The sequence below is a fragment of the Homo sapiens genome, chromosome 7, assembly GCF_000001405.40.
Source record: "Homo sapiens chromosome 7, GRCh38.p14 Primary Assembly".
Classification (NCBI taxonomy): Eukaryota; Metazoa; Chordata; class Mammalia; order Primates; family Hominidae; genus Homo; species Homo sapiens.
The window spans coordinates 2,960,586-2,985,568 of NC_000007.14; the positions used below are offsets into that span (position 1 = coordinate 2,960,586).

Here is a 24,983-nt window from a genome sequence, read left to right on the forward strand (position 1 = left end):
GTACTGAGGCTGGGCTGTTTCTGACTTTAGAATTTTGATGACAGCATTTGGGAACTTGGTCCTCAGGTCAGGGAAGATTTCTAGGATTAAAAGTCAATCTCTTGACCACTTGCAAGACTGGCTCATAGGTGTAACATGCAACTGACCAAACACCATCCCTCGTGCTTACAGACTATCCGGTGTGTGCCAGACACTTTGTTAGGCGTCACTGATGAACCTCCAGAACACTTTGAGGTAGGTGGTATCATCATCACCACCACCACCACCACCTTACAACCAAGAACACAAAAGCTTAGAGAGGGCTGGGCATGGTGGCTCACGCCTATAATCCCAGCACTTTGGGAGGCTGACGCGGGTGGATCATGAGGTCAGGAGATCGAGACCAACCTATCCTGGCTAACATGGTGAAACCCCGTCTCTACTAAAAGTGCAAAAAAATTAGCCGGGTATGGTGGTGGGCGCCTGTAATCCCAGCACTTTGGGAAGCCGAGGCGGGAGGATCACAAGGTCAGGATATAGAGACAGTCCTGGCTAATATGGTGAAAGCCTGTCTCTACTAAAAATACGAAAAATTAGCCAGGCATGGTGGTGGGTGCCCGTAGTCCCAGCTACTCGAGTGGCTGAGGCAGGAGAATGGTGGGAAACCGGGAGGCGGAGCTTTCAGTGAGTCGAAATCGCGCCACTGCACTCCAGCCTGGGCAACAGAGCAAGACTCCGTCTCAAAACAAACAAACAAACAACTATTGCTTCTCAAAAGAGGAATCAATTGCTTAATGCACTGTAGATTCCTCATGGTGGTGTTTTCCAAGTACAATCAATGCCCATTCACCCCACTATGAAGCCTGCTAGTTGACAAACGAAATGTTAGTTTTTCTTTTTTTTCCTTTTTTTTGAGATGGAGTGTTGCTCTCGTTGCCCAGGCTGGAGTGCAGTGGTGTGATCTCTGCTCACTGCAACCTCTGCCTCCTGGGTTCAAGTGATTCTCCTGCCTCAGCCTCCTGAGTAACTGGGATTACAGGCATGCGCCACCATGCCCGGCTAATTTTTGTATTTTTAGTAGAGATGGGGTTTTACCATGTTGGCCAGGCTGGTCTCGAACTCCTGACCTCAGGTGATCCAACAGCCTTGGCCTCCCAAAATGCTGGGATTACAGGTGTGAGCCACCGTGCCTGGCTGGGAAATGCTGGGGTTTTTGTGGCCTCTCACTTAAGAATAAATAGAGGCAAGGATCACTTGATGGTTGAGGAAAGTCTCCACATGAAAGGCAGAGATCAAAAGGGTCACACAGACACAAGGAACCTGCTAGGAGCAGACAATGCACAGAATAAGAGAAAATTTTAAAAAAACATAACCTGGCCGGTGCAGTGGCTCACACCTCTAATCCCAGTACTTTGGGAAGCTGAGGTGGGAGGATTGCTTGAGCCCAGGGATTCGAGGCCAGTTTGAACAATATAGCGAGACACTGTCTCCACAAAAAATCAAAAAATTAGCTGGGCATGGTTATATGTACCTGTAGTCTTGGCTACACAGGAGGGTGAGTCAGGAGGATTGCTCGACCCCAGGAGATTGAGGCTGCAGTGAGCCATGTTTGCACCACTGCATTCCAGCCTGAGCAACACAGCGATACCCTGTCTCAAAAGAAACCCCCAAAACATAACCTGATAATTAAGAATCATTTAGAGATGAGATGAAGCACTGCATCCATAAAGCAATGGTAGGGTGCTAAGAAGAGGAACAATCAAAGAACAAGAAGTTCTTGGCAATTAAAAATAAGGCAGCAGAAATTTAAAATCAATAGAAGGCTTGGAAGATAAAGTTGAGGAAATTTCCTGAAAAGTTAAATAAAAAATTAAAGAGAAGGAAGATAAGAGGGGAGGGAATGAGATCAATTTAGGAGGTCTAATATCCAATAAATAGAAATCCTAAAAAGAGATGACAAAGACTGTGTCTTCTTGTTATATATCTTCTGGGGATAGACTATAAATCAAGGGATGAAATTATCAGAGAAATAAAGTTAGAGAATTCTCTGAGTGTAAAAACATGAGACTTCAGACTTAATAGGCTCTTTGAATATTAGTACAATCAGTTGAAAAGAACCTTCTCAGTGCACATTGTTGCAAAAATTCTGGCCACCAGGGAATAAGAAACGACCCTAGAAGTTTCCAGAGAGAAAACCTCAGGTCACATGAAGAAGAATGGAAGCAAATATACCATCAAACTCCTCAATACAAATACTGGAAGCTCGGAGAAAATGAGGCAATGCCTTCACATTTTTGATGGAAAATTCTTTTTTACCTGGGATCCTATATCCACCCAAACTATTATGTGTGAAAATAGAATAAAAATTATTTTCAGAAAAGCAGGAACTCCAAATATTTGCTCCTGGGCACCTTTTCATTGGAAGCTACTAGAGGATATGATGCAGCAAAATGAGGAAGTAAACAATAAAGAGGAAGGTGTGGAGCTCACAAAGCAAGGAATCTACTTGGGGAAGCATCAAGGAAAGTCCCAGGGTGAAAGTAAAGCGGCCAGGAGCAATTGGCCAAGATTGCAACAGGATCATGGAGTGTCCACAAGGGAGAGGTTGCCAGGGGAAAAACAGAATGATTTTCTGATATATTTGATAATTCAGGAAATCATATTGTTAGGCGAATGACAGATCTGAGAGTCAGATGGGGAAACAATGAAGAATAAGTATATTTAAAAGAAACCCTGCGCAAAAGCAAAGGAAAAAAAAAAGAGGCAATATTAACTCCAGGAAAAAAACAAAAGTGCAGACAAGAAAGAAAATCAGAGCACACAACTTGCCTTAACATGAACAATATTTACCTAGTTATAATAATATAACCACCACAGATGAATCAACACAACAGATTGTGGCCTAATATAATGAGAAAATGGAGGAAGGGGAAGTGCTTTGAATGGGTTATTAGTAAAAGAGAGCTAAATTCTCATCTATCTAACAATATGTCAGTTGATAATGTCTTAAAACTAACATATCAACAAATAGCAAGGCAAACATTATTTAGACCTAGTGAAAAAGAACAGAAGAAATAACAGAAGAAAACAAAGTGAAAAAGAGGTTTTTTTGTTTTGTTTTTTGTTTTTAGGTGGAGTCGCACTCTGTCACCCAGGATGGAGTGCAGTGGCACGATTTTGGCTCACTGCAACCTCCACCTCCCAGGTTCATGCGATTCTCCTGCCTCAGCCTCCCAAGTAGCTGGGATTACAGGTATGCTCTATGTCTGGCTAATTTTTGTATATTTAGTAGAGACGGGGTTTCACCATGTTGGCCAGGCTGGTCTCAAACTCCTGATCTTAAGTGATCCACCTGCCTGGGCCTCCCAAAGTGCTGGGATTATAGGCATGAGCCACTGTGCTTGGCCTGAAGAAGAGTTTGAGGTGATTGCCTCTGGGGATCAGGACTAGGGGATGATGATGGCTGGGTTGGGGAGTGATGTTTTTCTTACATGCCTATTTTACTTTCTTATTTTCAATTTTTTAATTAAAAATATAATAGAGATGGGGTTTTGTCATATTGCCCAGGCTGGTCTTGAATTCCTGGACTCAAGTGATCCACCCGCCTTGGCCTCCCAAAGTGCTGGAATTACGGACGTAGCCACCATGCCTGGTGTATTTTGCTCCTTTGCATGACTCATGTATGACTTCGATAAAAAATAAAACTAACTTAAAAAAACACATGTCAGTCATTGGAAATATGGATAATGCATTTAAGTATGAAGAACAAAATAGTTATCTTCAGTCTTTGCACACACACCACGTTCCATCTTTTGCAATGCTTGTGAGTCAGCTCACCCCTTCCTAAACTGAAACTGCTGACTGTGTACCTGGCTCTTCATGGCTATCACCTTGATTAATCTTCACAGAAGCTCAATTAGGTGGTTTTATTACTCCCATTTTATGGATGAGAAGGTAGGATCTGAGAGTTCAATAACAGAGTGAGATCTCACAGCTAATAAGTGGAAGAGCAGAGATTCCTACTGAGCCTCCCTGAACTCCACATCATCTGAGCTTAATTAAACTAGCAATCATCCCAGCTAATGTTTATTTAGCATAGCATCTAATCGAACCAATTATATTCTTTTCTTCCTGAGCTCCAAATCTTCCTCTTTATTACTGTGTGTGTGTGTGTCTGTGTGTAGAGACAGGGCCTCACTATGCTCTGGAATTATAGGTGTGAGCCACCGTGCCCAGCCTCTTTATTAATTTAAGCCCTCATTTTGCTGGAATGTATACTCGAATAGCTGCCTCTGAAAAGGCATATGGAGTTGCTATTTGCCAGATATCATGCTAAATGCTCTATGTCGATTATCTCATTTAATACACAAAACAACCCTATGAGGTAGATACTCCTACGCTCCTTATTTTATAGAAGAGGAAACTGAGGCACTCAAAGAGAGTTCCAGCAATTTGCCACATGTCTGTCTCATCTCTGTATCCCCAGGAGAAATTAGCATGGAGCTATATTCTTAGTAGGTGTTCAATATATATATTTGTTGAGTGGATAAATACAAATAAATATCAAATCTTGAATAAAATAAACATTAAGTTTCCCATTGCTTCAAACCCAGGGAGCCCTCTGGAAATGAGCTGTCTTGGGGGGGCAGACACCTCTTTTTTCCAAGAGCTGCCCCAGTGCAAAAGCTCTGGAAACAGGAGGAGATAAACAGTTAGTTAGATGAATGCATCTCTGGTTAATTGATTTGCCTGCATGATTGGAGTGAATGGCTTAATATGCAGGGTTTAATTATTCCAATGAAACCTCCACTTAATTGAAAGGGCTTCTAGCAAAAAAAGGGAAAGAGATTATTTAAAAGGATGATCTACTGCCCATGAGAAAGGATTGAAGAGACATGGATACATGCCCGGACTCCAGCTATACTCAGTGTTTACAGCCTTGAAATGAAAGCTTGATGGAAAAGAGCCAGAATCATCCCTTCATGTACCACCTGCCCCATCCCCTTCATTCCTACAAAGAGGGCACTTGCAGAAGCAGCTAGAAAATTCCCCCTGCAAGACTATTCCCTGGTATCCCAGTTAACTTTTTAACCTCTGTCTATCTCAGCTCATTCAACCAAAATCCTGAGATGATAATATTTCCCATCAATTAACATGCGTTGAGCAATCAGCAGAGCTTCACTGATACATATTTTGAAAGTAGCAATTATCATTTTAAATTTGCAGTGGTGTGGCAGACATTGCCAGCTGCTGGCCCAATAGCCATTCTCTCTTACTTATTAAGAGATCACCAGTTTTGTTTGGGAACATTACTGTGCCCAACCAAAAACCTGTTATTTCCAGCATCCCTTGCAGCTAGGTGGCTATTTGACACGACTCTGGCCAGTGAGATGTAGGTGGAAGTTTCTGGATGAGTCATATGGGAAGGCTCTTTAAAAGGAGGCAGATTTCAGATGAGAAGAGCCCTTTACTTGTCCTTCTCTTCCTACCTGGAATGTGGGTGTGATGCCTGGAGGCATAGCAGCTATTTTGTGACAGTGAAGACTAGGCCAGGCTCTAAGGATGTCTGACTAGGATGCTATAAGAACCTCAGGTCATTGATGACAACCCTGGACAGCTAACCTTTGAATTCTTGGTCCATGAGAAGAGTAAAACCCCTAGTAGGCAGAAAATCTGATTCTGTTTCTATTATTTGCAGCTGCAAACAGTCCTAACAGATACAAGTGCCACATACAACGCACACTTTCTAAGTTATATTGGTCCTGGCCACAGACCCCTGATCCCTGAAATCAGAGCAACCCGCTTATCGATCTATTCCTTCCCATTCTTTTTTCCTAGAGACAAAACCAAAGTTGGCAAGTGGTCAATAAGAACTAAGTATTTAATACTATCCGTGTCTAAAGTGCTGCGGCGGACAGAAACAAATGGTGCAGCTCTGAGGGGTGAGCAGTACCATGAGGAGATAAGGATCGCCCAGGAAATTGTAACTCACGGACGACACCCTCAGCCATTGGTTTAACCACTCCCAGCTTTCAGTGTGTAGGCAGGATGATTTATCTCACCCGCCTTCTGTGGCCCTGCTTTGTATCCCCAGCATGCCCCTCACTGTGCAGTCAATGCTGTCACTTCTCCAGCCTCTGCCTTATCCCCTGGGCTGCATCTCCCCTTGCATCAGCTCTCACTCTTCCATAGGCACCCTACCTCCTCCCCATGTCACATTACAGCCGAGCTTCCCGGCCACCATCCCCGGCAAGGCCTAGTCCCTTGGTCCAGAGCACTGCCCGCCACCCCAAGCATCCCCTCAGGCACCAGACTGCCTCTAATATTCATACCTGAAGCTCCCCAAGAGGCCACATCATTTTTAGCTGACTCAGGCAAAGGGCCAATGGCTCCTGAAGATAAAAATGTCTCATCTTGATTCCTTTTTAGGGAAGGCGAGAGCATCAGTAGGAAGTTAGGAGGGGCTGGTGTGCCCTGAACCCAGAGACCAAGGGCACCACCACATATCATCCCCCAGCCCCCCGGAATATATCCACACTTATTCTGCAGTGGCTTCAGATTTGTACCAAGACGATGAAGTGTGGAAGGGCACGCACCCCTAGTATTCCCAAAGGACCCTGCTTCCTGGGTCTCCTTTTTTCTAACGCCACCGCAGAAAAGCTTTTGATAGAAGCCCAATTAGGAGTGACAGATTTAAATTGTTCTGAAATGCACATCAATTCATCACGTCCACTTTTTATGAGCATTGGCCCCACCTGGATTTCAGGTCCGTGCACAGGGCTGATTGACAGCTCTGATGGCGACCAGGAGCCATGATGGGACCACTCAGCCAGACCCAAATCCCAGAGTGAGGTCACCCTCTCGGACTCCTGTCAAGTCAGACTTGCTACAGGACTGGCTAGGGGGAAACCCTGGCCTTGATAACGAAATACTCTTCTCTCCTGCTGTTGCCTCTGAAGCCTGGTCAGCAAATCCGCCTTCCCCACAGGAGACTGATAAGCAGTTGCGACCACCAGCTGATTCCAATTCAAGACCTCTCTGTGCTTTCAAAGATGGGCTCTTGGCTTCACCTGTGCACTGGATGGAATTTGTTTCATTGCTGTGTTCTTCAGTGTCCTGGCTGGCATTTTATTGCCTGGGTTGGAAGCAACTTGGGGAGCCCATTGTCCCTCTTTGAGTTCTCTATGTCAGTGTCGTGATTTGCTTGGGCCACGCTATCCGGTATGGAGTGGGTTTTTAATAAATATTTGCCGAATTGAGTGCTCTGATGTTTTATGATAAAAACATTCTGTTGTCACAGAATTACATTCAGTGTCAGTCCACCAAGGAGAATGCAGTGAGCTTAAGTGCTGTGACGGGCCCGGGACGGCTACTCTGCAGTTTTGTCTGACTGCTCCAGTGGAGTGAGGACCCTTCCTTCATGCCACCTGTGCACTGGGCACAGAACAAATTTTTGTACCACTTCTTTTTTAAATTAAAAATTTTATTTTTACAGATGGGGTCTTGCTCTGTCATCCAGGCTGGAGTGCAGTGGCATGATCATAGCTCACTGCAGCCTCCAACTCCTGGGCTCAAGTGATCCTCCCATCACAGCCTCCCAGAGCACTGGTATTACAGGGGCACACCACCACCCCTGGATAACTTTGTTTTTTAAGAGATGGGGGGGCGGGGGGTTCTTGCTATGTTGCCCAGTCTGGTCTTGAACTCTTGGCTTCAAGGGATCCTCTTGCCTTGGCCTCCCAAAGTGCTGGGATTTCAGGCATGAGGCAGCCTGCTGGGCCCAGTTTCTGCTTCTTACCCTCTTTTGCCATTGCTGGTTCATACACCTGTCGTGAATTCCTTGGAGGAGGCCTCACGTGCACCCATCGGTGCCTTTCCAGCACAGCACCTGGCCCTCCTTTGTAGCGTGACGGAATAAACAAGTCTCCTGTAGCGTTTAGCCTGGAGACTTGACACGAAAGCAACAGCAAGGTGGGATACAGAGCCTGTGTTTTTGTGCATACATTAAATTCGGGAGGAGGAGAGGTGGGAGGAAATTGTGTTACTCTTTGGTTTTGGGAAGTTGAGAGACAGTGTGGAAGGTGCAAAATCAGACATGGGACAGGCACTGCCAGAGACTTGGGCATTAGAAAGCAAAATCCTGCCCCTGGGAGCCCTTGGGGCTGGCATGTGAATGTGTGGGGTGGGCTCAGCAGCCCCGAGAATCTTCTCAGTGAAAGAGTTGGGCCCTTGAGTTTTGTAGAAAAGGTGACCAGTATCATCAAATGAGTCCCACTCGGAGAGTGGCCAAGAACCAGAGGTGGAAGAGTCTGTGGGAGCCACAGTCAGACCTTAAATCTTCCTCATTATCTTCTTCTCATCTTACTCGGCTGCCACTAGAACCCCCAAGGAGCCCGCGACAGGGTTAGGCCAGGCCAGGCCAGATGCCTTTGGAGTCAACTCCGGGAAAGTGTGCAAAGCGTGGTAATGAGGATATTCCAGACAGACTGCGGGGACGGGGGTCCCACTCACTCACTTGCACATTCACTCACTCGCGCATTCACTCCCACTCACTCATTCACTCATTCATTCACTCATTCATTTACTCACTCATCCACTCATTCACTCATTTACTCACTCATCCACTCACTCATTCATTTACTCACTCATCCACTCGCTCACTCTCCCATGCACTCACTCATTTACTCACTCATCCACTCATTCACTCACTCACTCATTCACTCACTCATCCACTCATTCACTCACTCATCCACTCATTCACTCACTCATTTACTCGCTCATCTACTCATTCATTCACTCACACATCCATTCACTCATTCATCCATTCACTGACTGACTCACTCATCCATTCACTCACTCATTCACTCACTCATCCATTCACTCATTCACTCATTCATTCACTCACTCACTCATCCACTCACTCACTCATTCATTTACTCACTCATCCACTCGCTCACTCTCCCATGCACTCACTCATTCACCCACTCATTCATCCACCCACACATCCACTCGCTCGCACATTCACTCACTCATTCACTCACTCATTTACTCACTCATCCACTCATTCACTCACTCATTCACTCACTCACTCATTCACTCATTTACTCACTCATTTACTCGCTCACCCACTCATTCATTCACTCACACATCCATTCACTCATTCATCCATTCACTCACTCACTCATTCAATCACTCTTCCATTCACTCACTCACTCTTCCACTCACTCACACATCTACTCACTTATCCACTGACTCACTCATGCATTCACTCACTTATTCACTCACTCATCCATTAACTCATTCACTCACTCATCCACTCATCCATTCACTCACTCATCCACTCACTCAGCCATTCACTCATTCACTCACTCACACATCCACTCACTCATCCACTCATTCATCTATTCACTCATTCATTCACTCACTCATCCACTTATTCACTCATGCATTCACTCATCCATTCACTCATTCACTCACTCATCCATTCACTCATTCACTCACTCATCCACTCACTCATCCACTCACTCATCCATTCACTCATTCACTCATCCACTCACTCACGCATCTACTCACTTATCCACTGACTCACTCATGCAATCACTCACTTATTCACTCACTCATCCATTAACTCATTCACTCACTCATCCACTCATCCATTCATTCACTCATCCATTCACTCACTCACTCGGCCACTTACCCAGCCATTCACTCATTCACTCACTCACACATCCACTCACTCATCCACTCATTCATCCACTCACTCACTCATCCACTCACTCATGCATTCACTCATCCATTCACTCGTTCATTCACTCATTCACTCACTCTCACTCAATCACTCATTCACTCACTCATCCACTCATTCATTCACTCACTCATCCATTCACTGATTCACTCACTCATGCACTCACTCACTCATGCATTCACTCATCCATTCACTCACTCATTCACCCCTCAGTCACTCATTCACTCACTCACTCACGGATTCACGTGTTCGTTCTCTCACTCACACATTCACTCATTCATTTATTCACTCAATCATTTACTCACTAATGCACACATTCATTCACTCAATCACTCATCCACTCATTCACTCACTCATCTGCTCATTAATTAATTCATTTACTCATTCATTCATGTGCTCACTCACTCACTGACTCACTCATTAGATTCAAAAAGCATTCCTAGATGCAGAAGTCAAAAAAATCGAAGAAACTTTGACTATGAGAAGACTCAGGGAATGAAAAATAAGTAAGAATATGCCACACATGACAAATATGGGAGGTTCAGAGCCGAGAAAAAGAGGCAGGGAAAGAGAAACTCAGAGGAAAGATGGTCAAAAGGGCCCCCAGACTCATTGGAAGAAGAAAGAAGTGGCAAGAAAGATCGGGGCTGAGGAGCAGTGAGAAGGAGATTGGAGGGAAGAAAGAAACCTGGATCCCAGCCCAGTCTGGCCCGTATTTTAAAGTCAAGCATTAGCTCAGAGAATGCAAATCAGAGCTACAGCAGAGTGATTTACCAAGGGAACGCAGCGTGATCACTCGGGTCACTACCTGCAGCTCAAATGAAGTTATCTCCAGGGCCCAGAGCTGGCCCCGACCGCATCACAACCTTCCTTTGAGGAGTCAGCAGGCAGCGGGACACACACCAGGCACCCGTCGCTGCCTTCTGCATTTATAAGACACGCTGGAAATACACTTAGAATAGACGCAGCGATCAATTTAAAATGCATTTCTAGTTGTGGGGCCATCTATTTTATGAAATACCCTGCAAATGGATAAATGCAGCAGTGCTTCGAAACACATTCCCAGGTGTTTGAAAGTAACTTTGCCAACTTTTTCCATTGGCTAGAAGGTCAGTATTTTTTTTTGAAATGCAGATTTCAGGTTTTCTTCCATGGTGACAGGGATGTGGTGGTGGAGGCTTCTGCCTCTAGCTTTCTAATCCTCCCATTCTTGTCCCAGGATCCACCAAGAGGTGCAGTCAGGGCAAGTCGCCTCAACCACAGCAGAAGAGCCCAAGGAGGGGTCTGTGTGTCTTTCCCTGGAGCTTCACAGGGCTCCCAGCTCTTCCTTCTAGAAAGGCCTTCAGGTCTGGTCAACCCAAGGTTCAGGAAGCAGCTTTTTTTTTTTGGCCAGGCATGGTGGCTCATGCCTGTAATCCCAGCACTCTGGGAGGCCGAGGCGAGTGGATCACTTGAGGTCAGGAGTTCACGACCAGCCTGGCTAACACGGTGAAACCCCGTTTCTACTAAAAATACGAAATATTAGCTGGGTGTGGTGGTGGGTGCCTGTAATCCCAGCTACGAGGGAGGCTGAGGCAGGAGAATCGCTTGAACCTGGCAGGTGGAGGTTGCAGTGAGCCGAGATTGCACCATTGCACTCCAGCTTGGGCGACAAGAGCAAAACTCCTTTTCAAAGAAAAAAAGACACTTTAAATTTTGTGTGTGTGTGACAAGGTCTTACTCTGCCACTCAGGCTGGAGTGCAGGGGTGCAATCAGAGCCCACTGCAGCCTTGACTTCCTGGGCCCCAGTGATCCTCCCACCTCAAGCCTCCCCAGGAGCTGGGACCGCAGATGTACACCACCACACCCAGCTACTTTTTAAATGTTTCTATTTTAAAGATGGGGGTCTTACTACATTGTCGAGGTTGGTGTTGAACTCCTGGCCTCAAGCCTCAGCTTCCCCAGATGCTGGGATTGCAGGCATGAGCCACCATGCCCTGCCAGATCTGGGTTTTATTTAGGTCTTGGACTTCCTTATTTTAACCCAAGGTGTTCAAGGCTTGAGGTCAACACTGCATTTTCTCATCTATCAGGCTCAGTGGGCAGATTTCCAGGCAGCAGAAGAAAAAGAAGTAGGGTGGTTTTTGAGGGCTAGGCTTGAGTGACTTTAACCTCCTGCACTCAGGAGGTTAAAATATTGTAAGTTGTACTTGCTGCTGTGAAGTGACATCGTTCCCTCCAAAAAGGGCAGGGGTTGTAGGGGAAAGGATTGCAGGAATTCTAATTAAACAAAAAGAAAGTCAAACCAAAAAAAAAAAAAAAAAACCTTTGCATGAAGAGATAAAAACGGCAGTTCCCCTCTGTGTTCTTAGTGGGAAGGATGTGGTCCTGCAGTCAGAGAGTCCTGGGTTTAAACTTCAGTTGTGCCATTTGTTGCTGTGTGGCCTTGGGCATGTTGCTTACCCTCTCTGAGCCCCCTTTTATTGGCTGAGTAGCACTAACATCGTTTTTTGTTGTTGTTGTTGTTGTTTTTTTGAGGTGGAGTCTGCTTCTGTTGCCCAGGCTGGAATGCAGTGGCCCTATCTTGACTCACTGCAACCTCCGCCTCCTGAGCTCAAGCGATCCTCCCACTTCAGCCTCCGGAGTAGCTGGGATGACAGGCATGTGCCACTGCGCTTGCTTATTTATTTATTTATTTATTTGTATTTTTAGTAGAGATGGGGTTTTGCCATGATGGCCAGGCTGGTCTTGAACTCCTGGCCGCAAGTGATCCACTGGCCTCGGCCTCCTAAAGTGCTGGGATTCCAGGCGTGAGCCACCGCTCCTGGCCACGAGTAGCACTAACATCTTAAGGCTACTGTGGCACGTACAGTGGGCAATGCTACTTAGCTACTCAGCCCACCCCCGTCGGAAGCTAGCAGCAAACTCAGGACAGAAACAAGAAGTCACTACCTACTCGTCCTGTGTAATTACCTCCATTCCAAGCAGAATTTAGAGAAAAACTTTAAACATTTACCCTCAAACCTTCTGTCTGAGCTTCCGATTGGAAACTCACCCAGCCGGTGGTGTTGGCATCTTTCTGTGTCTTCCACGTTCCTCTGGGCAGGGACACACTTCATATTTCCTTGTGTACCCTGGCTTAGCAAGTGTGTTCCATAAATCGGCATTTCATATTTATCAAGTGAGTGGTGTCCAGTGGCTAAACGCTGGCTTTCTTTCGCTCATTACAGCTTCTTCCCTTCAGCCGATCAGACCTCTACCTCCCCATGTGTGGGGAGAGCTTTCACTGTGACTGCTTTCCGGTGCCTGCTGTTCCCACCTAGATGGTTCCACTGTGCCTGCAGTTTGGAGGTATGCACCAATCCATCTTGTACTCTCAATCACTCACGGGTTAGAAGCCTAGAATAGATGGCCCTCTGATTTCTGACCTGCAGGGCGCAAACTGTCTTTACCTGGTGAAATGCAGACAGGCCAGCTGGTCCTATGTCCCACCAGGAGAGCTCTTCATTTGCCAGTGTCCCCAAACATCAGTGTTACGGAAACAACAAACATATCTGCCACCTGCTCCCACCCTGGGCAATTTCCAGAATCTGAAGGGCCTTCTTCACTATCAAAGCCAGTCTATTCTGCTGGGCACCATGGCTCATGCTTGTAATCCCAGCACTTTGGGGAGGCTGAGGCAGGAGGATTGCTTGAGCCCAGGAATTCGAGACCAGCTTGGGCAACATAGTGAGACTCCGTCTCTATAAAACTATAAAAAAATTAGCTGGGTGTGGTGGCATGTGCCTGTAGTTGTAGCTATTTGGGAGGCTAAGGCAGGGGGATCACTTGAGACTGGGAGTTTGAGACCAGCCTGGGCAACATAGTGAGACCTTGTCTCTACAAAAAAATTAAAAAAGTAGGCAGGCATGGCGGTGTGTGCCTGTGGTCTCAGCTACTCAGGAGGCTGAGGTGGGAGGATCACTTGGGCCCAGGAGGTAGAGGCTGCAGTGAGCCATGATTGCATCACTAGACTTCAGCCTGGGTGACAGAGCGAGATCCTATCTCAAAAACAAGAAAGTCCATTCTGTCCACTGGGCTGTTTCTGGAGTTCAGTTATGTTTGTGGGATATTGATAACCCCATATCAGCCATCATTTTTTGGATTATACTCGTCCCTCTCTCATTGTTTAAGGGAATGAGGGGTGTATGGGAACTTCTTTACCAGTTGACCTTCAGAGGACATATTCCCAGACAACCAGGGCACAATGTCTCTGTGCGGTGGGTGTCTGCACACAGTGGGCATTCAGTCAACCTCAGAGCAGGACGACAGAATGTCTCAGTTACCAAACCCACATGACAGACGCGCAGGCGGACGCTGACAGCCTCTAAGGGGAGACTGCTGTGGTGTAGGAGACCTGGGAAGCCCCCATCCCGTGTTCTGGACGTTCATGCTTGGGCTGTCTGTAACCTCACCAGGATTACTGTAGGCTGTGGCTGGGCTTCCGGGAAGGAAAATGAATAATTAAGACGCTGGAGATGGAAAACTTCAGGACACAATAGAGATTTTTAGTCTTAACTAGACAGGAAAATAAGTGTCTCAGGCCAGGCACAGTGGCTCACACCTATAATCCCAGCACTTTGGGAGGCCAAGGTGGGTGGATAGCTTGAGTCCAGGAGTTTGAGACCAGCCTGAGCAACATAGGGAGACCCCGTCTCTACCAAAAATACAAAAACAAGCCGGGTGTGGTGGTGCACACCTGTAGTCCCAGCTACTTGAGGAGGCGGAGGCGCGAGGATCGCCTGAGCCCAGGAGGTTAAAGCTGCAGTGAGCCGTGATTGCGCCACTGCACTCCAGCCTGGGTGACAGAGCAAGAGCTTGTCTCAATAAAATACAATAAAAATAAAATAAAATAAAGCAGCATCTCAATATTTAAGCACATTTGACCATTCAGGAAAGGGCTCTCAAGAGACCTCCAAAGAGTAACCTCACCACCTCTTAATCCCCAGGAACTGACGACCCAGTGGGGCAGGTTCCAGATTCCTCATTTGTCTGATTTTGCTTTCTACTATGTGTTTTTTGTTTTTGTTTTTGTTTTTTTGTTGAGATGGAGTTCACCCAGGCTGGAGTGCAGTGGTGCCATCTCGGCTCACTGCAACCTCTGCCTCCTGGGTTCAAGCGATTCTCCTGCCTCAGCCTCCCTAGTAGCTGGGATTACAGACGCCCACCACCACACCTGGCTAATTTTCGTATTTTTAGTAGAGACAGGGTTTCCCCATGTTGGCCAGGCTGTTCTTGAACTCCTGACCTCAAGTGACCCACCTGCCTCAGCCTCCCAAAGTTCTGGGACTACAGGCGTGAGCCAGCACGCCTGGCCTCTGCTGTGTGTCTTACAGTAACATCACCATTTACAGGAGGCATTTCTAGAAGAATAAAGCATGAAACCTACATCCGGTGCTCTTATTATCACAATTATTATAACAATGAGTGTCTCCATCTGAGGTTAGGTGGGCACAGAAACGGAATTCAAACCAGTCGGATTTTCTGTCTCGGAGAATTCTGCCAACAAGATGCCAGGGGAGCTCGTGCGTTGAAATGCATTAATTGAGTACCACTATTTTGGGAGCAAAATAGGTTTGTGCATCCAATTAAATGTGGGGCATCTGAGAGGGAGAAAGACGGAGAGAGAGCGGGGATTCAGAAAGGGTCTCTTTACTTATAATTAACTACAAAATAAACAGCTCTTTCATGGAATGGGGCCCTCTCTGTTCCCGCCACCCCTGCAGCCCACGTTTCAATTAGCTCTGTGTTATTCGGGTCCCCTATTACTCCAGATAACCCAGGACTGGCTGTAATTAATTGTTATAATACACTCAGGAGCAGAGCCAAGCTGCAGCTCGGGAAGGCTGGTTGAAACTGCTCTGTTCCTCTAACCGGCCTCCTGGAAGGGCTGGCTTGGAGCTCCACCTTCACCAATAAGTCAGAGCTCCTCCATGGGATGACGAGGGAGAGGGGCTGAGATACTTGGAGTCTGCTTTGTTTGCTGCATTTGGTGCTGAGCAAGGTGCTGGCCCTTTTCTCTCTGCCCCGCTCCCTTCACAGTCCCTGAAGCCCTGAACCCTTCACTCCAGCGACATTTAAAATAAAGACATCAGGCCAGGCACGGTGGCTCACGCCTGTAATCCCAGAACTTTGGGAGGTGGAGGTGGGCCTATCACTTAAGGTCAGGAGTTTGAGACCAGCCTGGCCAACACGGTGAAACCCCGTCTCTATTAAAAATACAAAAATTAGCCGGTCGTGGTGGCATGTGTCTGTAATCCCAGTTACTCTGGAGGCCGAGGCAGGAGAATTGCTTGAACCCGGGAGGCAGAGGTTGCAGTGAGCCGAGATGGCGCCACTGCACTCCAGCCTGGGCGACAAGAGCAAAGCTCCGTCTCAAACAAACAAACAAACAAACAATCACAAAAATCAGCCGGGCGTGGTGGCAGGCCCCTGTAATCCCAGTTACTTGGGAGGCTGAGGCAGGAAAATCACTTGAATCCGGGAGGCGGAGGTTGTAGTGAGCTGAGATTGCACTACTGCACTCCAGTCTGGGCGACAGAGTAAAACTGTCAAAAAAAAAAAAAAAAAAAAAAAGACATCTTATCCATAGAATGGAATATTATTCATCCATACAAAGGCACGAAGAAGCATTGCTGCTTGCTGTGGCACAGATGAGCCTTGCAGACACTAAGCTCAGTGAAAGAAGCCAGACACAAAAGGCCACACATCATAAGATGCCATTTAGATGAAACGCCCAGAATAGGCAAATCCATAGATTCAGAAGGCAGGTTCGTGGGTACCAGGGACTGGGGGGAGGCAGGGATGGAGGAGGGGGTGGGTATTAATGGGGATGAGGTTTCCTTTTGGGGTGATGAAACTGTCCTGGGGCTGGATAGAGGTGGTTGTTACATAGCACTATGAATGTACTAGACGCCACCAGGTTATTGATTTTAAAATGGTGACTTTTATGTTATATGAATCTTACCTCAATAAATAAATAGCAACAGGCTGGGTGCAGTGGCTCACACCTGTAGTCCCAGCACTTTGGGAGGCTGAGGCAGGAGGATTACTTGAGCCCAGGAGTCTGAGACCAGTCTGGGCAACATAGCAAGACCCCATCTGGGCAAAAAAATAAAAAGATTAGGCAGGCGTGGTGGGGTATGTCTGTAGTCTCAGCTACTCAGGAGACTGAGGCAGGAGGATTGCTTGACCCAGGAGTTTGAGGCTGCAGTGAGCTATGATCACACCATTGCACTCTAGCCTGGGTGACAGAGGAAGACCCTGTCTCAAAAATAAACTAAACTAAAATAAAAACAGCTACAATTTTTTGAGCCGAGGTGAGCAGGGGCTAGGCCCCAAACCCTCAGTGACTCCAAGCCCCAGACAGCCTGGGCAGGAAGCTCTGATCATCTCTGGTGAAGACCTGAGACTTCCCAGTCTTGGGGAGGGGACACCAAGGGATGAGACAGGTTGTGGGGAAGCTGGGACTTGAGCGCTGTAGGGAGGCCGTGTGCTTGTCATGGGAGGCAACAGTCCACGTGGGAATTGCAGGAATGCCTTTTTTTTTTTTGAGATGGATCTCACTCTGTTGCCAGGCTGGAGTGCAATGGCGTGATCTTGGCTCACTGCAACCTCTGCCTCCCGGGTTCAAGCGATTCTCTCGCCTCAGCCTCCCAAGTAGCTGGGATTACAGGCGTGCACCACCATGCCTGGCTAATTTTTTTGTATTTTTAGTAGAGACGGAGTTTCACCGTGTTAGCCAGGATGGTCTCAATCTCCTGATCTCGCGATCCACCTGCCTCGGCCTCCCAAAGTGGTGGGATTACAGGCGTAAGCCACCGTGCCTGGCCTTTTTTTTTTTTTTCTGAGACAGAGTCTCACTCTGTCGCCAGGCTGGAGTGCAGTGGCGCGATCTTGGCTCACTAAAACCTCTGCCTCCTGGGCTCAAGCGATTCTGCTGCCTCAGCCTCCTGAGTAGCTGAGATTACAGGCACCCGCCACCGTGCCCTAATTTTTGTATTTTTAGTAGAGACGGGGTTTCACCGTGTTGGCCAGGATGGTCTCCATCTCCTGACATTGTGATCTGCACTTACAGGAGGCAGGGTCAAGGAAAGGACAAGATAGAAGCAGAGGTGGAGAAAGAGGGTGAGGTGAGTGGGAGAAGAGGGGACGGCGGGACAGAGGCCTTGTGACAGAAAAGGGAACAAGAACTCAGGGTTTTACGTTGTACCCACAGGTGCAGAGCTGAGAAAAGGAAAGAGAAATGAAGAACGGCAACTCGGAGGGAGGAGACGGTGGGGGTGGCGCGGGCACCGGGTGCAGGCTGAGAAAGCGAGAGGGCGGTCCGGCCAGGGGGTGGGGGTGCTGCAACCAGCTCTGGTCACGCCCCTTCTCCTGAGAGCTCCCAGGACTGCAGGCAACTTGCTGAAGAACTTGGGTAATTTCCCGGAGGCCGGCTCACCTGTTTCCAGCCCATCAGTGATCTTGAAACTTACAAATACTCAGACTCACACTTTCCGCCTATCCGTGCAAGGTAAGAGGAGCCAAACACATCTCGAAATGCACCGATTTTTCTTCTTCTAAGGGGGCAGACTCTCGTGGTGTGCCCCCACCCTCTCTGTTAATGCCTCTATTGTGTAAAAACGTCTTTAGATAAATTTGTCGGGCTTGGAGCCTGGGGTGGCCATTTCTTTGCACTTTATCTACTACAATCCAAGACCAGCAAACATGAGGCCACGTTTTTCCAGTGGTTTCTGCCTCCCCCACCACAGTGGTGACGGAAATACGCTCCCCAGCAACAGTGAGAAGACCCTGGGATTCTGCAGGCTCAGAGATCATCTGTACCCTCCCGCCGTGTAACTGCAAGACGACAAATGAGATGCAAACAGGGAAGTCTTTCTTACGTTTGTGCCAAATGATACAATCACCAATAATGAAATAAGGCACCTGTGAAAACTGCACCCAGAAACGGTCGATCAGTATGGACATGAGGTTGTTAAGAATGCGTTTCCTTAGCATCGAAGAGGGGGTAACTGGCTGCTCTCTGATCATCTGTCTCTTCTTCCCTGTGTGCAGGGAGCTATGAAGGAGCCCACTTAGGAAGCCAGGATTTAAGGTGACAGGAGCATATTGCAGGTGGGGCTCCACCTGCCGGGCAGTGACGGCTGGGGGTCACCCCGAAATCTCTGCACTCAGGGCTGTCAGACGGACGTTACGCGGTATGTGAACTAGAGACACTAAGAGCCTATTATTCTGTTTTGCATTTTAAAGGAGGTCTCTGAGGACCAGCTGATGCTTTCAAACCACTTAAGTCAGCGAAGCCCCAAAAAGGCTGTAGTCTCTTGCAAGCAAAAGTTACCAAGGGGCTGCCGAGGGTCTTCAAGCCCGCAGGACTTAAGAAATTCCCGAGTGTTTCACCAGGAATTGAGGAATCTACTCGGATCCCTTTCAGGGATCCCGGGGGGAGGGGAACTTCCCCTTTGGGGTCCCCAGTCCTACTGTCTCTTTGGGAAGCTCCTTGTCCCACAGTCGCCTGGTTTGTCCTCCGGTGTTTGTGGGCAGGGGCTGGGCCTTTGGTGCCCCGGTGGACACCAGCGAGCCACAGCCTCATTTCTTAGCATTTGCAATCTCAAGAGATCCCAGAGGAACCGTCTGGAAGGTGCTTGCGGGGTTGAGGGGTGGGGAACACGAACCCTTCCCAGACCTGGGGAGGGCCAGGCTGCAAGGCCCCACGTTTTGGAAACAGACCCTGTACACACTTCCTCTCCACCCAGCTGGGGGCCACGGGCAACTCAGGCCTTGAGACACACTCTGCGCACTGAGCCCCACTCCCCGGCCCCTGGCACTGTCCCAGTCAGAAGAAAATAAGACCCAGTGCCACATGACAACGGGAGCATCCTGGCCTGTGTGGGTCACCGGGCATGTATGGAGAGCGTCTACGGGCTGGATCCATGGAGCTCTGTGCAATCCAAGCCACGGCATGAGACAGTCGCCCCAGCACCTGCTGCTGAGACTCCACATCTGGTTTAGGAAATTAGGAGATGCAAAGAGGTGTGCATGAAGCCATGAAAACACATGGGCACGGACAGGACAAGGGGGCCAGGTGCTGGGGAGAGGGGGTCCCATGGCAGCCCCCCAGGGACAGGGCTTCACCAGCGCTGCACCCGCGGGCCTCAGTCACGGGACCGGCCAGTTGGGAAACGTACTCACGCGGTTGTGAGCCAGCTGGGTCCTGGGGGTTCCTCGTGTTCCTCTCAAATTCTCTCTCCTCCTGTTGATTCCCCAGAAAACACCAAGGCTGTGGGAGAGCAGCCACCTCCCCCGGAAGCCTACACCGACGCCCCACTCAGATGCTGCCTCTATTTTTAGCGGGGGCAGAAGTGGGGACTGGGGGTGGGCTGCCTTACTTCCCTCTTTTTTTTTTTTTGTTCCGAGCAGAATCTGTGGGTGACTTTCCATTCATGGGAGTGGGGAGGCTCGGAGAGCAGAAAGGGACCCAGGCCGTGCAGGGCAGGCAGAAACTGCAGGGAACAGGGTGCGTCTGTCATCAGGGCCAGGAGGGCGGTGGGGCAGGGAGGCAAGGGCAGGAACCCGGCGTCGTCAGTCACTGTTCGCACCTCTGCTCTGCTCTCACCGCTGGGCCCCGGGCCACGCCAGACCTCACCCAGGGGACCTCTCTGGCCTCCTCTGCCTCTGAATTCCACAGAGGAGGAAGACTGGCCAGCAGAAGTGCGGGGCCTTGGACATTCCAGGGAACACTCTTCTATGAGCGTGCATCCCATGATGCATACCCTTTTCCCCTCTGTCTCTTTGAAGTTTGTTAGTGGGTGTGGAGCCCAAAGTACTTTGGACTGGAACATCATGGCTGGAACATCGTGTCTTTACCAGAGAATGGAGGGCAACCAGAGTTGTGGGAATGAATGGAGGCAATGCATGAACACCGCCCACCCCAGCGACCTGTGGATGCAGGCGATCAATTCCTTCCCCAAAGCTGTCAACGTCCCCTCCGCTCCTATACAAGCAAACACCAGTTTCTCGGCCATTGCTTCCTGGCCCTGGCCCTGTGTGCAACAGCACCCAAGTCTACTATCTTAGCAGGCTTCCTCCCTATTTCCCAGCCTATACCAATCACAAGAATACTCGCTGTTTCCCTTCTTTTCTTCCAAAAAGTTGAGGTGTAATCAGTGAGCTGCATGGGTCTTCAGTACACAGTTCGATGAGTTAGGAAGATGCCCACGCAACCAAGATCTCAGTCGTGATACAGAGCATGGTGACCCCCACTAAGAAGTTCTCCAGGGCCCTTTCCATCCCCCTGTGGCCCCCAAAGGCAACCGCTCCTGTGATTTCCATCAGCTTTGCCTTTGCTTGAACCTTAGGAGAGTAGAATAATGTGTTGTTCTACTCAGACGTCCCCTCCTTGGGTCTCCAGGAAGCTCTGGGCACCGCAGCTGTGTACTCCATGCAATGGTTAATTTTCTGTGTCAACTTGACTGGGCTAAGGGATGCCCAGATAGCTGGTAAAACATTTCTGGGTGTGTTGTTGAGGTTGTTTCTCAGCATTGGAATCAGAGGACTGGGTCAATAAGACCCGTCCTCCTCATTGTGGAAGGGTGCCATCCAATCTGCCGAGGACCCCTGATAGAACAGAAAGTCGGAGGAGGGAAGAATTTGCCATTTTGAGCTAGGGCATCCATCTTCTTTAGGGTCTGGCTGCTTTCACGCAGCGTGTGAGGCTGGTGTCAGTCACGCATTCCTGTTTGTCACTGGGCAGTATTCCATCGAAAATGTCCCACATTTTCCTGACTTGTGTATCTTTCGCTGGACATGTGGGTTGTTTCCTGTTTGCCTGGGACCTTCCTGTACAGATCTTCATGTGGACGTGCTGTCATTTCTTTTGAGTAAACGCCCTGGAGTAGGACTGTCTGGGGGAGGAAGACACGGTGCCCCCAGCCAGGGCCGCCATGGAGAATTGGGGGAGCAGCAGGGACTGACCATGATCTCCTCACACCTCCGCTCTCTGATCATTCCAGCGCTAGCACTTTCTGGGAAGGCTGGGAAGCTCACTGATTACACCTCAAGTTTTTGGAAGAAACGAAGGGGAACAGCAAGTATTCTTGTGATCGATGTAGGCTGGGAAATAGGGAGGAAGCCGGCTACGATAGTAGATTTGGGTGCTGTTGCACAGGGAAAGGAAGCAACGGCTGAGAAACTAGTGTTCACTTGCATAGGAGCGGAGTGGACGTTGACCTCATCCTTCCCGGCTTAGGCGGGAGAGACAGTGATGATGATATCGGGAGGCCTGAAACCCACCAAAAAGAGTCAGAAGGAAGCTGATTCAATATGGGACTGGCAATTTCAGGGGGAAAAGATGTCAACACCTTCAAAGGTGGGGCCAGACCCCCTGGAGGTAAAAGTCCCTTCCAATTGGATTCTTAAACACACCCCATCGGAGAGACCAAAACATGGCTGGTGGAATTCAGGCTTGATTCCCATTTCCCCGGGAGAGGGTGAAAAGGTTCCTACTGGGCTGCTCCAGGGAGCACGCCAAGGATCACCAGCGCCATGGGGCAGAAGAAGCTGAGTCCCCCCATGAGCAGCACGGAAAAGAGGGGGTCACCTGAGGCCACAGAGGAGAGGGACTCCTTGGAGGAGGCAGCAGTAACTAAGTCACACACATAAAGGAAGTGGCATCTGAGAGCTTCCGGCACGCACGCCCAGGGAGGTGGGAGCCTAAGCTTGTGGGTGAGGAGTGATTTTTCTAGTATGACAAGAAACATAAAATACAAAACAGGTGGTTCTGCCAATAAGTCAGCCCCAGAGGAGCCTGGTGACCCTGGAAATGGGGCCGACCTGATGTGGACTTAGGGGCTTTGGGGTTTGAGCCCCAGCCTGGACTCCTGAGCTTCAACAAGGGGGCTGGGAGGCAGCCCTCTTTCCCTTTTTTTTTTTTTGAGACGGAATCTTACTGTGTTGTCCAGGCTAGAGTGCAGTGGTACAATCTCGGCTCACTGCAACCTCTGCCTCTTGGGTTCAAGCAATTTCTCCCACCTCAGCCTCCTGAGTAGCTGAGATGACAGGCGTGCACCACCACGCTCAGCTAATTTTTGTATTTTTAGTAGAGACGGGGTTTCACCATGTTGGCCAGGCTGGTCTCGAACTCCCAACCTCAGGTGATCCACCCGTCTCGGCCTCCCAAAGTGCTGGGATAACAGGCGTGAGCCACCGCACCTGGCCAGGAGGCTTCTTTCCTGATGCTGCTCCTCCAGTGGAGCCAGGTCTGTCCTTCTGAGGCCCCCAAAGCAGTTCAGGCCTAGGCCTGTGCAAGCACTCAGGATCCCACCTCCTCCCTGGCACTATTTGTTTTCTTTATCTCCGCCTTGAAGCTGTAGTTCCAAACAGGCAGGCCCTTGACTGCTGATTCAGCTGCCGGAGCCAAAACTCATAAAATCCTATTTCAAAAAGGTCCAATGATTTTCTTTTCTGATCATAAATATGAAATTTAATTAGCAGCCTGCTGCTAATGAAGTCACCGTGGAAGCCAGCCTGGAGAGGCGGAGGGAACGTGAACACCTGCAGGCAACAGAACCTACTGCCTGATTAACCCTTCCTCTCCTGCTGCCCCTCACTGGGCCCTTTCTAGGGCCCCATGGGCCCCGCTGCAGAGGGGCAGCCTCTGGCCTGGAAGGACAAGGAGGGACTGCTCGTTCAGGCAGAGTTGGAGGTGGCTCAGATGTCGCTTCCTTGGGTCTCCAGGAAGCTCTGGGCACAGCAGCGGGGTACTCGATGTGCTGGTTAATTTTATGTGTCCACCTGATTGGGCTAAGGGATGTCCAGATAGCTGGTAAAACATCTGGGTGTGTCAGTGAGGATGTTTGTGGAGGAGCTCAGCATTTGAATCAGTAGACTGAGTTAAGAAGATCCGCCCTCCCCAACGTGGTTGGGTGCCATCCCATCTGTCCAGGGCCCCTGATAGAACAAACAGTCAGAGGAAGGAAAAATTCTCGTTTGAGCTGGGACATCTGTCTTCTCCTGTCCTCTGACACTGGAGCTCTTGGTTCTGGGCCTTCAAACTCTGGGACTGACACCATGGACTCCCTTGTTTTCGGACCTTCAAACTGGGACTGAATTATATACTAGCTTTCTTTCTTTTTCTCTCTCCGTTTTTCTTTCTCTTTCCTTCTTTCTTTCTCTCTCCCTCCCTCCCTCCCTCCCTCCCTCCCTCCCTCCCTTCCCTCCCTCCCTTCCTTCCTTTCTTCTTTTCTGAGACAGGGTCTTGCTCTGTTGCCAAGGCTGGAGTGCAGTGTCATGATCATGGCCCACTGCAGCCTTGAACTCCTGGACTCAAGTTATTCATCTGCCTCAGCCTCCCGAGTAGCTGGGACTACAGGTGTGCATCACCATGCTTGGCTAAGTTTTTAAATTTTTTTTAGAGATGGGGACTCCCTATGTTGCTCAGGCTGGTCTTGAATTCCTAGGCTCAAGTGATCCTCCTGCCTTGGCCTCTGGAAGTGTTGGAACTATAGGTGGGAGCCACCACGCCCGGCCGTGGCTTCTGTGATTCTCCAGCTTGCATAGAGCATGTCATGGGGCTTCTTGGCCTCCATAGTCATGTAATCCAATTCCCATAATTAAATCCCCTTTTATATATGTCTCTATGTATCCTACTGTTTCCATGTCTCTGACTAATACACTGTGCTGCAGATCAGAGACCCAGCTTCTGTCTTCTCTTTAAAACCCTCTGGTAGGCTGGGCCCGGTAGCTGACACCTGTAGTCTCAGCAATTTGGGAGGCTGAGGTAGGAGGATCACTTGAGCCCGAGAGTTCGAGACCAGCCTGGGATAGTCAGACCTCTCTACAAAAGATTTTATAACATTAGCCAGGCATGGTGGTGTGCCCCTGTGGTCCCAGCTACTCGGGAGGCTAAGGTGGGAGGATCACTTGAGCCCAGGAGTTCAAGAAGCGGTGAGCCATAATCGTGTCACTGCACTCCAGCCTGGGTGACAGAGCGAGACCCTGTCTTTAATAATAATAATAATAAAACCCTCTGATGGAACATTGTCCACAGCAAAAGGGAGGCACTGGGAATAATACACAGCTCGGCATAGGAGCTTAAGGGAAGGCCACCGGAGCTCAGAAAGTGCCCAGGGCCTCTGCTCAATGCTGTGCGTGAGCTGGGGGCACACAGCATAGTCCATTCTGCCTTACAACGGACTGGATGGTGCGGAGTCCTTCTCGCCACCAGCCAGCCTTCCTGGTAGT

The 24,983-nt window shown here is 48.9% G+C and overlaps 1 protein-coding gene across 2 annotated transcripts in view, besides 6 other annotated features; it reads right to left on the bottom strand.

The window, feature by feature from the left end:
- The window catches only part of CARD11 (caspase recruitment domain family member 11), a 137,726-nt gene that overhangs the window by 54,444 nt on the left and 58,299 nt on the right, over positions 1 to 24,983 (bottom strand). The window contains exon 2 of one of the 2 annotated variants that reach the window (NM_001324281.3): positions 19,935 to 19,995. The exons of the other annotated variant lie outside the window; for it this stretch is intronic. The gene's annotated coding sequence lies outside the window, so the exon portion shown is untranslated. The remainder of the gene's footprint in view (positions 1 to 19,934; positions 19,996 to 24,983) is intronic. 2 annotated transcript variants of the gene reach the window in all.
- Positions 7,036 to 7,218: a silencer, noted in NCBI's record as "fragment chr7:3007255-3007437 (GRCh37/hg19 assembly coordinates)". NCBI's record gives its function as "represses an EF-1alpha promoter that drives an FKBP-Casp9 reporter gene in an ReSE screen in HepG2 liver carcinoma cells {active_cell/tissue: HepG2}" and the evidence as "EXISTENCE:reporter gene assay evidence [ECO:0000049][PMID:32094911]".
- Positions 18,059 to 18,148: a silencer, noted in NCBI's record as "silent region_17891". NCBI's record gives its function as "represses an Ori minimal core promoter by ATAC-STARR-seq in GM12878 lymphoblastoid cells {active_cell/tissue: GM12878}" and the evidence as "EXISTENCE:reporter gene assay evidence [ECO:0000049][PMID:35858748]".
- Positions 18,882 to 19,613: an enhancer, noted in NCBI's record as "H3K4me1 hESC enhancer chr7:3019101-3019832 (GRCh37/hg19 assembly coordinates)". NCBI's record gives its function as "activates a minimal SCP1, AML or CMV promoter by ChIP-STARR-seq in naive H9 embryonic stem cells {active_cell/tissue: H9 hESC(naive)}" and the evidence as "EXISTENCE:reporter gene assay evidence [ECO:0000049][PMID:30033119]".
- Positions 19,609 to 19,698: an enhancer, noted in NCBI's record as "active region_25556". NCBI's record gives its function as "activates an Ori minimal core promoter by ATAC-STARR-seq in GM12878 lymphoblastoid cells {active_cell/tissue: GM12878}" and the evidence as "EXISTENCE:reporter gene assay evidence [ECO:0000049][PMID:35858748]".
- Positions 19,609 to 20,343: a biological region, named in NCBI's record as "H3K4me1 hESC enhancer GRCh37_chr7:3019833-3020562".
- Positions 19,614 to 20,343: an enhancer, noted in NCBI's record as "H3K4me1 hESC enhancer chr7:3019833-3020562 (GRCh37/hg19 assembly coordinates)". NCBI's record gives its function as "activates a minimal SCP1, AML or CMV promoter by ChIP-STARR-seq in primed H9 embryonic stem cells {active_cell/tissue: H9 hESC(primed)}" and the evidence as "EXISTENCE:reporter gene assay evidence [ECO:0000049][PMID:30033119]".